Source organism: Homo sapiens, chromosome 11 (genome assembly GCF_000001405.40).
Source record: "Homo sapiens chromosome 11, GRCh38.p14 Primary Assembly".
NCBI classification, from domain to species: Eukaryota; Metazoa; Chordata; class Mammalia; order Primates; family Hominidae; genus Homo; species Homo sapiens.
Window position 1 is genome coordinate 31434382 of NC_000011.10, and position 12769 is coordinate 31447150.

At 35.1% G+C, this 12769-nt stretch overlaps 1 protein-coding gene across 13 annotated transcripts in view, besides 1 other annotated feature; it reads right to left on the minus strand.

Annotated features, from left to right (window-relative positions):
- The window catches only part of IMMP1L (inner mitochondrial membrane peptidase subunit 1), a 77222-nt gene that overhangs the window by 1981 nt on the left and 62472 nt on the right, over positions 1 to 12769 (minus strand). The gene's annotated exons all lie outside the window — the stretch shown is intronic.
- Positions 7798 to 7998: a silencer, noted in NCBI's record as "peak1238 fragment used in MPRA reporter construct". NCBI's record gives its function as "represses an SCP1 promoter by STARR-seq MPRAs in K562 erythroleukemia cells {active_cell/tissue: K562}" and the evidence as "EXISTENCE:reporter gene assay evidence [ECO:0000049][PMID:32103011]".

The window sequence follows — 12769 nt, forward strand, 5'->3', positions numbered from 1 at the left end:
AAACTAAAAAACTTACTTTCCAGCAACAATCTTTAAAATTGCTTTTTAAAAGTTTTTATTTTACAGTTTTGTTATCTAAGACAGTTGAATTATTGACCAGACCAAAATGATCTATGTATGGGGAAGGAATTTATTTTCACTATTCTTTTGACTGGTTTTACTTGTAAACCTTTTATGAAGAAAAATACACTACTGGGTTTAATAAGAGATAATGCAACTTTTTTTTTTAATCACAAATTACTTTCTTGAAAAGTAAATGTATACAAGAATGTAAAATTTGAATTTCACTTACGTAAGCGATTTTAAGATTCTGGAAAGTCTTATGTACAAATATTTGCCAAAAATCTCCAAATTAACTCTGCGTTTAGATACATTTAAACATTAAATCTATTTGTAGAAAAAGGACATAAGTTTACTGAAAGAATATCAGAAACTGTATGATCATTCACTTTTATTACTGGAACTAGTTTGTCCAAGGGCCAATAGCAAGGCCACTTCCTTGCTATCTAATAAAATAGACATATGTGCAGTGAAGTGTAAGACTGCTCTAGTAGGAAAGTGTGTACATCACAGTCATCAAAAAAGGAACAAAATAATGAATTTGGAAAAGCCATATGTAATTAACATTCTGAAGTGTTATTTGATAAAGCTATAAGGTGAACATCTTTCGTGTCTAAATTTCCATAGTTTCTTCCTAAAATGTGTTTTTTCCTGAGTTCTAAAAACAGGTAATATATATGAATAAATAAAACCATGTAGTTATGGACACCAGTAAAAGTAAAATTAAAACATTATGCAAACTAATAAGGCAACTATCAACAATCTAGGGATATCTTTGTCTGACCATCCCATTGAACCAGGATCAGTGGTTTCTACATTCCATCTCTTCATGAAGCTTTCCCTAAACTTGCCTGCCCTTACCAACCTGATTGTTTCCAATACTTAACACACAAAGTCAGCCTTGCTTGGGGCCCTACATTATAACCTTTAATATTATTTTTAACCTGCTTGGCTTTTCTGTCAGTTTTTACTATTTTATACCAGAATAAACCAACAGGCAGTAATGCCATGATTTGACTTTTATTGCATTTTAGTTTGGTGCAAAAATAACTGCGGTTTTTGCCGCAAAATACATTTAATGGCAAAAACCACAATTACTTTTGCACCAATCTAATAGATTTTTGCCAATATATATGGCAAAAAATGATACCTTTGTCTTATGAGTGAAGCTGAATCTTCTTTTCGTGTTTAAGAGGCATTTAATTCCTTCTCTGTGATATCTTTTTGCATGTCTTTTGCCATTTGGCTACTGGATTGATCTCCTTTTTTTCCCTCATTTCATAAGCACTCTTTCAATACTAGGGAGATTAGCCCTTTGTGGTACAAATAGCAAATATTCCCAGTTTCTCATTTCTGTTATGAGCCTTTGCTTTCATGTCTTCTGAATTTTGAGTCTTTCTTAGAAAGGTCTCATGGTTTCTTCTTTTACATTTAACTGTTTTATTCTTTGGGAGTACATCCTGACAAATGGTTATAAGGCTTGGATGAACGTTTTTAATTTTTGTAAATAATAACTAATTTAATACCTTGGTAATATTTTTCTGTGCATTTATTTGATTGTTGGCAGTGTCAAATATTATTCTGTGTGTTTTCTGATTGAATTTAATATCCAGTGAATAGTCTGTGCCTACTTTTGCATATATTAGTCTTTGGGATCTCAATTTTCCTATCTATGTGTATTTCTTATATAATACAAAGATTAATACATTTATTGCAAACATTTTTCCCAATCTATTTTTTGTCTTTTTATATTATGTTCCACAAAGTTTTTAGTTTTTTATGCAGTATTTACTTTTATATCCATATGCTTTTTAAAAGATGATTTTAATTATTTACAGTACCTAAACCAAAAGTGGAACTCAGATATTTGCTGGTGGTTAAATACTTGTAAATAGAAATTCTTTGAAAGCACAATGATAACTGCCATTAGCTAGGTCACTTTTGTAGCAGTTATGACCTGAGTTTCTTTCAAATTAGCGACATCATCTCTGGAGTAATTTTTGTTTTTTGAGACGGAGTCTTGCTCTGTTGCCCAGGCTGGAGTGCAGTGGTGTGATCTCGGCTCACTGCAACCTCCACCTCCTGGGTTTAAGCAATTCTCCTGCCTCAGCCTCCCAAGTAGCTGGGATTATAGGTGTCCACCACCACACCCAGCTAATTTTTCTATTTCAGTAGAGACAGGGTTTCACCATGTTGGCCAGGCTGGTCTTGAACTCCTGACCTCAAGCAATCCACCCGCCTCAGCCTCCCAGAGTGGTGGGATTACAGGGGTGAGCCAGTGCGCCCAACCATCGCTGGAGTAATATAATTAACAACTACAGAAAGGAATCTTCTAAAAAAAACATCTAGAACATATGACCAGGAGCCTTTCATTTGATACTTAAAATAACCTGTGAAGTACTAAATTTGACATTTAGTCAAGGAAAAAGAAATAGGTTCAAATATGAGACATGCTAACTCCTCATTACCTGAAATCCATACATGTTAATGACCATGCATCCATTTACAGTAAAGGGATTGCCTACATCTCAGACAACACTTCATGTAAAGTACACAAATCAAGGAAACAGCTTCATCACTGATGTTACCTTTAATCTAACAAGATCTCTATAAAACAAGAAAACCTCTACGTACAGATCTTTTAAAATTAAAGCAGGCATCTTTGCTGATCCACCTCTATAAGTTGCAGGTTGAGTATCTCTTATCTGAAATGCTAGAGACCAGAAGTGTTTCAGGTTTCATATATTTAGATTTTGGAATATTTGCATATACACGAGATATCCAGGGGAAGAGACCCAAGTCTAAACATGAAATTCATTTATGTTTCATATACACCTCATATATATATAGCCTGAAGGTAATTTTATACAGTATTTATAATTTGTCCAAGGAACAAAGTTTTGACTGTGTTTTGACTATGACTCGTCATGTGAAGTCATATGTGGAATTTTCCACTTGTGGCATCACACAGGCACTCAAAAAGCTTCAGATTTGGGAGCATATTGGATTTCGCATATTCAGATTAGGGATGCTCAACCCATACTCAGTTTACCAGTAAAAAAACATAATGTTTGCAATTACTCCTCCTTTTAAATATATAATTATTTTTGGTATGGGGGAAAAGAGTGAGAACTTTATTTCACTTTAAAAATCAATTTTATAGAGGTATATTTTATATACAGTAAAATGCACCTGTTTTAAGTTTTGACACACGTTTTGAAAAATGTACATACCCATCTAACCACAACCACAATGATACAGGATGTTTCTTCCATGCCGAAAAGTTCCCTCTGTTCCTTTGCAGTCAGTTCCTATCGCCATGCCTAGACCCAGTCAACGAGTGAACTGCTTTCTGTTACTAGATAGTAGTTGTGCCTGTTGCTTAATTTCATATAAATGGAATTACAAAGTACCTATTTTGTGTCTGCCTTCTTTTGCTTAGCAAGTTTTTATGATTAATCTATGTTGTATGTAAAAGTCATTCATTTTTTACTTCTGAGAAGTATTCCACTGTAAACCACAATGTTTATCTATGAAACTGGAGGTGGATACTTGGGTTGTTTGCAGTTTGGTGCTAGTAAAAATAAAGCACTGTGAACATTCATGTACAAGTCTTATTTCTTTTCAGTAAGTATCTAAGGGTGGAATTTCTGGGTCATCAGTAAGTCTATGTTTAACCTTAAAGAAATTACCAACCTTTTTCAAAGTGATACTATTGTATACTCCCAACAACCAATGTATGACTGTGTTCCTGTTGTTCCACAACCTCTCCAGCACTTGGTATTATCAGTTTTTAAATGTTTTGCCATTCTAGCAGGTTAAGGATATTAAATTGTGGTTTTAATTTGCACTTCTCTGATGAAAGCATTTTTCCATTATGCATACTAGTATTATCTTTTGTGAAGTATCCATTAAAATATGTTGGCCATTTTAAAAATGGGTTATCTTCTTATTCATTGTACCAGTCCTTTATTTACCATGGATACAAGTCCTTTGATGGGATTGCAAATATTTTCTCCCAGGCTGCATCTTTTTAAATGATGTTTTGACAAGCAGAAGTTTTTAATGTTGCTGAGGTCCAATTCATACTTTTTTTCCTATTGTGTTTCGTGCTTTTCGTGTCCTAAGAAATCTTTACCTGCCCCCAGATTATGAACATATTATACTATATTCTACAAATTTTATAGCTTTAGCTTTGATTAGGTATGTGATCCATTTTGAGATAACTTCTGTGCATGATGTGAAGTATTTGTTGCATCTGTTTTTGTTTCCTTTTTTCCTCCTCTCTATTGGATTATTTTTCTGAATTTTTTCATTTATTCAATTGCCATATTTAACATAGATCTTATTCTTGAAGTTGTTACTCCAGGGTTTACAATATGCATCATTAATCACAGTCCACCTTTTCTTCAGGTATAACTATCTTCACATATTATACCACTTCATGTAAGGTAAGAAAGGAAAGAATTTCGCAGCAGTATATTTTCATCCTCATCAGTGAATACAGAATTCTGGATTGACAGTGCTTCCCCACCTAACACTTTAAAGATTTCATTTTCTTTTCTTGCTGTTTTTTATAATAGATCAGCAGAAACTCCTTGTTCTCAGTTGTATGTAATATATTTTTTCTCTGGTTAAGATTTTCTCTGTCTTCCCTGGTTTGATTTTCTTTGTATTAGGCCAGAACTTCTTTCTGTACTTCTTGGATCTCTGATTCATCATTTTGGACAAAATTGGAAAAAAATGTATAGATCACCTTCTCTTCTACCCACTATCCTGGGGCATCCATAGCCTTCATGTTAATCTGCTTGACCTGTCCTATGGGTTACTCATTTTTTTTTCTTCCAGACTTTTTCCTTTCCTTCAGTTTGTATACTTTTAATTGCTGTCTTCAAATTCCCAGATCTTTTCTTTTGTAGTTTCTGATCTACTAAAGACCACCAAATGTATTCTTAAGCTCTAAAAATTACATTTGGTTCTTTCTTATACCATTTATTTCCTCAATATGTTCATCTCCTCTAGATCCTCAAAAATAGTTAGAATTGGTGTTTTAGAGTGCTTCTCTGCTAATTCCATAATTTCTGTCATTTCTGGGTCTATTTAACTGATTTACTTTTGATTATGTGTTACATTTTTCTGCTTCTTCACATATCTGGTAATTTCTGATTAAACTGGACACTCACTTGCTGAGTAGATTTTGTTGTCTGTTTTTATAGAGTGTTGAATGTTGAGGGAGTCTGGTTTCTGTGAGGTAGTTAAGTTAGCGGCAGTCACCTTATTCCTTTCAAGCCTTGTTTATAAGCCTGCTAGGTTGGGTCTTTATCTTACATTTTATTCTAAGGGCTATTTTAGTCCTACCACTAAGATTTGATTTTTCCAGAGTCTCTACTGAAAGTTCTGGATATCAACAAGATCTGTCCACACTGGCTGGTCAGAACACAAATGTCTCTCAGCTCTGTGTGAGTTCTGGGACCTTTTTGGCTTACAGCTCCCCAGCAGTCATTCATTCCTCAGTCTCTTTAAGTTTCACCATAAGCAGGCACAATTTAGTATTGAGCCCAAAGCCAAGGGAATATCTACGTAGATTTCTGGAGATCTTTCTTTAGCTCTTTGCTCCATGGTAGTCGGATTTATAAATCCCAACCACTTAAGCATACCTGTACCCTAATCTTTGTCTCAACTCAGCAAAGACCACCTGTGCTTTGCTTGACTTTCCCTCCTTGTACTGTTATCTGAAAACTGCTTTAAGACAGAAGTTGGGGCAAGTACAGGCTTATTTTGTTTCCTTTCTCTCAAGGATTAGTTTCATACTGCCTGCTATGCAATGTATTAAAACAGTAGTTTCACATATTTTTGTCCAGTTTTCTAGTTGTTTATGGCAGGAGGGCAAGTTCATGACCAGTTATTCCATCACTGCCAGAAGCAGATGTTCAAATTACATAATTTAAAAAAAACTTTTTTTTCTTTGAGACAAAATGTCGCTCTCTCGCCCAAGCTGGAGTGCAGTGGTGCAATCCTGGCTCACTGCAACCTCTGCCTCCCAGGCTCAAGCGATTCTCCTGCCTCAGCCTCCTGAGTAGCTGGGATTACAGGCATGCACCACCATGCCCAGCTAATTTTTGTATTTTTAGTAGAGATGGGGTTTCAACATGTTGGCCAGGCTGATCTCAAACTCCTGGCCTCAAGTGATCTGCCCGCCTCGGCCTCCCCAAGTATTGGGATTACAGTCGTGAGCCACTGCGCCCAGCCTTAAAATACTTTTTTAGCATACTTGCAACAATATAAAGAGAATCATTTCAGTGAAGACTAAAATTTTTGATGTGTGACGTGTGCTTTGGCATCTCCATCTTGCATCCCCTTCAGTGGAGTCTCCTTTATGTTTTTACCCTTTCCCTATCAAAACTCTGGAAAAGATTTGCCAAACTCAGCAGGCAATTATGTACAAACAAGGAAATTCACTATGGTATTTTCTGCATCTCAAGACTGGCAATGGCATAAATGTTCCTCAGTAGGCAGAGGTTAAATAGAATATCTTTCTTTTATATATTAGTAAACAGCCAGTAAAAATAAATACATAAATAATGGAAAGATTTCCATGAGATAGCCAGAGGAAAAAATAAGTTGCAGGGCAATGTGTATAACTGTAAAATTTTTAAAATATATATTTCAAAATATACATTTTTATGACCAGTGCATACTATTTAAGTAACTTAAAGTATACATATGTATATATACACAGAAATATATGTGTATGTGTGTCTTAAAATACAAACTGCTTAACCCTTTTGGTGATGTTCATACTTTTAAAAAAGGGAGCATCATCCTTCATGATGCAGGTTGGGGGAGCTTGTTGAATTTTTTTAAAAGGTGTTTCAGGGTTGGGCTTTTTTTTTTTTTTTTGTCTTTGGTAGTGTGGAAAGAGAGTTAACCTAACCTCTAATCCATATAGTAGGATATGCTTCTTTGTACAGTACAAGTAAATGACTTGTCATTTATTTCACAGTACTGTCATCAAATCTACAGATGACTAAAATATTACTCTAGCCAAGAACACATTTAAACAAACATACAGTAAAACACATTTTTTGGTTTGGGTCTGAAACACAACACCTGACTTTCCTGATATGGAATGAGGCAAGGAACAGAACATTTTCTTTCTAACTTTAAACACAGTTATTGTCTGTTAGATTAACCTACTAGTTGTCAGTAAGTTGAAAATTCAAACCAGATAATAGAAAAAAGAATTCTATAGCAATATTATAATAATAAAATATGAAGAGGATAAAATGGTAGATTAACATGTATTTTTCTTTCCTTTTTTTGTGCTCACAGAGACAGATAATAAAATGTGTTTTTTTAAAAGCTATGATAACTTTACAACTAAGGCTGAAAACCACTCTAATAAACACATTTATAGTAAATGTTTTACAAATGGCCCAAAATGGAAATGCCTAATTCTATCTCTTTGTTCATTACGTCTCATAATCAAAACTTTTAAGTTGGATTAATTTTGTACTCTTGTAAATATGCTATGCCATTTTGAATGAATGCATAAGACTGAATATATGAATATATGTTTTCATGAATGCCATAAACTGTTTTAATTTTGCCCAAACCTGAATTCTCCATGTGCCTCAGATATAGCTAACTTTACAGCTAAATTTTAAGGCATTAAAGGGACCTTTAAATCATTCTTGTTTTTCCTTTCTACGACAGAGGTTTACTTCCTGAGCTAGGTTTACTTCCTGAGCTATGATAAAACCTAATCTCAGGGCTGGACAAAAGAATCAAGCCTCTAGTTCTCAGCTATATTTACTGAGGTCTAGTTAAGTGCCTCCTTTTTAGCACAAACAACAAATGTAATTGCCTCATGGCCTGCGGGTGTCCATTTAACAAAAGAGGCTTTTGTGGAGGCAATACACAGGTGTTACCTTTCTTGATTCAAGTGAAATCTGATGAAACAGTCCACAATATCAAATAACACATTTACTAAACTGTAATCAAATTCATTTATTTGATTAGGCAAATAACATCTAATTAAGAAAAGTTCTGGCTAAAAAATAGTTGTATGTTTGACCTTCAAAAGTTTCAAAAACCAGAAAATCCTAAGAACAGACTGATTTTTAATTAACACTTTATTTGCCATATATTTTATAGTTTACAACCAGCAATGGTAGGGTTTGCATTGGCCCTACCTATTGCTCGTACTTCTTTAATGGTTCTAAAATGACCGCAAAGAAAACAAAACAATAGTCATGAAAGAAACAAACAAAATTATGACGCAAGGTGAGGAACAAAGTTTTTAGAATCCTTTTTTTAATGATTATTTTTTCATTTTCCTGTAATGTACAAGAAAAAGAGCACACATTTATGAAAGCAATCAGATAGTCTTTTTTTGCTTCTATTTAGTAAAAACAAACGACTGATAGAGCAACGATACTCTAGTCTCAAAAGTATTTCATTTTGCATGTTTCAAAGATTTTATTTTGTGTCTAATGGAATAATCAGTGGGCTATAAAATGCATAATACCCTTGCCTATGAAAAAAGTCTATATGATGAATGTATATTAAAAAGATGTCATTTTAGTCCAATAATTAATATTATGTAATTGTTTTTTATCTTATTATCTTACAAAAAAGCAGTATCAAGTTATTATACCTACTATGTGGCCACTGTATATTCTGCTTAATCATGACTTATGTAACCAAAGTGTGGCCATATTAAGATCCTATGCACACTATTAGAGATAATATTTGAAAATGAATAATTTATTAGTATTTTTCTAAAAAGATCTCATAAAACCCAGTTTGTTTGAGTCATGTAACAGCAAAATTGGAAGCACCATCAGTAAATAGTTGTTTACCCTTCCTATAGTGCCAGCAGAAGCTATAAACAAAAACACATGTAAAAAAGTGAAGAATTAAATTCTGAGATACAATAAATAGAAGGGACTTTTAGAACACAAAGGTGAGAAAACATTAATTTTTAAAAATGCGAGTGTCTGAAATGTCAGTTCTGGGTATCTCTCAAAGCAAACTCAAGGAACAGTTTTACTTATTTTCATTGTCATTCTCCTCGCCCTAACTACTTGCCCACATTCTGTCTACCTGAGCTAATTAAGGCCGAGGAGTATCTGGAGTCCTGATAGAAGTGTTTCCAAATGCTAGATGCATAATAAAGGGATTGTAGAGACCAGGCACAGAATAGTTAATACACTGACTATTTTAATACGTACTATTTCTATACGGTCCTGCTTCCTTTTCTCCCTTTTAAAATTCAGCCTCATTGCTGTCCTATCTACATCATTGCTGGGAACTGTTATTGCCCTTCCCTTCTTAAAAATGGTGCCACCTTACATTCATAGCCAGTCATCACCAAAGAGGAATTTACACAAAAGTTTCAGTAGGCTACACCTATAGCATTGGGGTTTGAGTAAGGGGTATGCTTTTTACTAACAGTCTCTCTTTCGTTATTGAGCTTCTCCCTGCTGAGTAGGTTTAAAGCTTAGTCTAAGGCTTGACTTGCTCATTCTCGTGGCGATTGCAAGATAAGCTCTTTCATCTTCTCCCTAAGCTCTCAATACCTCCATCTAGCCTGAATAGTAACCTCTGGTGGGCTGTTTAGGATAGTGGTTAAAAATACAGTCCACACAGTCACACATAGTCCTGAGGTCCAAATACAGCTTTGCATACTAGTTAAGCACCTTGGGCAAGTTATTTAAACCTCATCAATACAACTGAGACTAATAAATACCTTACAGAAATACTATGAGAACCAAATGAAACAAGACTCCTGGCACCCAGGAAGCAATCAGTAAGAGCACTTACTAGCAGCTGCCACATTTGCCAGTGTGAATTATGTCTATTGGGCTTTCTTTGTCCCTGGTTTCCCAGGCAGTCTACCCAGATCTCTGCAAAGTTAACTGTGCTTTGCTATTTTACTTTATGTTTCTGGTTATTTTCTTTTACACTATATTCAATTATATAGCTCTGGTGTTACCCAAGTCTTTGACTTGAATCCAATATAATTAAAAATGTACATTAATTATGAGTAAGTACCACATCAATTATGCCACCTAATTTAATGAAATTCAGTTTTTAAGATAAAATCATCCTAGATTAGCAGTAAAAACTAACATTTCTATTCTTTTTTTTTTTTTTTTTCTGAGACAGAGTCTTGCTCTGTTGCCCAGGCTGGAGTGCCATGGCGCGATCTTGGCTCACTGCAACCTCTGCCACCTGGGTTCAAGCGATTCCCCTGCCTCAGCCTCAAGAGTAGCTGGGATTACAGGCATGCACCACCACGCCTGGCTAATTTTTGTATTTTTAGTAGACACAGGGTTTCACTATGCTGGTCTCGAACTTAAATGGGCATGCTCATCAAGCAATGTTTATTAAATATTGAATGCTTAGGCCCTTATCAAGCATCCACTTCTTCAGAACCATTTACCAACTAGTCAGAATGTAGGAGATGGAGAAGAGGGTTGGGACTGAAGCCAGTTTATAGGCCTTTCTATCCATGCCTCCCAATACTATTGTCCCTGTGTTTTACCTCTGTCTCTTTGTAAATACAATGTTACCTGCTATTTTGAGATTTGGATTTAAAAAAAGCACTTTATATTCTCATTCTAAGACTATCTCTGCACTTTCATTTTAATACAGCTTGATCTATATACTTGCTTTCCTTCCAAAGGATGAGCCCAACTTAATTCAACAAAGGGTATTTCAGACTGTAGTAGAAAATGGTGTTAAGTATTACAATAATGAGTTTTCTCATGCTCTCAGAAAAACAGTTCTGAACAGTAAATTAGATGCATACTGTACACAGTATGTACTAACATGTTTCCACCAAAAGTTTTATTCGTGGCACTCCACTTAATTCTTTCCCAAATCCAAACTCATCCTATATGGATTTATTGCTACAGATGAATCTCTGTTGCTCTTTTCAATCTCCTGTTGTTGCTGTACATAGCTGCTTCACATAGAGATTGGCCAGAAAAACAGATTTATATCTGAAAGGGTATTAGAAATAGATTACCAGTAGAAAGGTTGCCATACTTCAAAAAAGAAATGATTAAAAATAAATATGTAGGTATTTTTGTACTTGATGTTACTGATGCATTTTTTTAAAAACAGGCATTGTTGAATATATTTGACAGACTTCTCCTGCTTGTGTTTTACTCATCGAAACACAACTCTAATGTATCAAACCCAGCAGATTATTTAGAATAAAATCTAGGTTTGTGAATACAAAATTGCAAATTAGGCAGGTGGATGACAGATGAATTTTTTTTTTTTTTTGAGACAGAGTCTCACTCTATTGCCCAGGCTGGAGTGCAGTGGCACGAGACGGATGGCATTTTTTAGTGATGATGCATGATACAAAGAGAATAGCTGAAGATCTTTAAAAAGTAAGAATGATCTAGGGCTGAGCGCATCAAAACACTGTTTTGACTAGGAGACAGAAACAGACTATGGACATCAAGGAGGGAATAGCAAAGCATCCAGATGTCATCTGGGGAAAGCAGTACTTTTTTGCTACTTGCTGTAAAATTTAATTGCCACAGTATTAATTTAAAATATAATCTACCTTAATCTTATTAGTAGACTTCTACACTTGTCCAAAATTTTATATATCTTCTTTCCATTTCCCAAATTAACATCTCCCCCAACAACCCTATTTTATTGTACCACTCACCCTGTGGCAAGAACTAACAACTTGGGTGTCATTTTTAAGCCTTTCAATTCCCTTTCTTCCAGCATCCAATCTTCTCTAGATTATTTCCTTAATCTTTCTGCAATCTTTGTACTTCTTCCTATTCTCGATGTTATTATCTCAGTTATGCCTCACTCACAGCCTATTAACTGGTCTCTCTGCCTCCAGGCTCTCCTAATCCTAGCCATCCTCTAATAGTCTACACTAACAACAGAATGGCCCCACAGAAACTAAATAAAAACTAAGCCTGATCATGTTATTCCCCTGCTTGAAACATAAAAGGAACTGAGCCTTGTTTAATTCTTATTTTTAGGGATGGGGTCTTGCTATATTGCCCAGGTTGACTTTGAGCTCCTGGGTTCAAGCCATCCTCCCACGTAACAGACTACCATGCTTGGCTTATACCTTTCATTTTTATCTCTTCTTACTACTCATCCCTCCTACTACATGTGCCATACACTGGAACTCTTACTTTTGGCAGTTCCCCAAAAGCACAATGCTGTACTTACTTCTAGGCCTTCAGAATATGCTGCTTTCTTTGACTAACTCCTACTTACCCTTTAAAACTTCAACTCAGGTTTCACTTTCCCATTCTGGAAAAATCCCATCTAACCCAGTCTGGATAAATATCCTTGTGTCTTATCAAAGCACCTGTGCCTAATTCTATTATACTATACTGTAATTTCATCTATTCCTCCAACTTAACTATAACCTCCTAAAGTTACACTGTCCAATATGGCAGCCACTAGTCATATATGTGGCTATCTAAATTTTAAAATTACATAAAATTAAGAATTCAGTTCCTCAGACACACTAGCCATGCTTCATGTGCTCAACAGCCATGTGTGCCTAGTGGCTACCATATTGGACAGCACAGATACAGGATATTTCCATTATTTCAGAAAGTTCTATTGGTGTTGCTGGGGGCAAAGATGACTACCCTAACGTGTACTGGCCCTCAAGTAAGTGCTCAGTAAGTGTCTGTGGAATTAA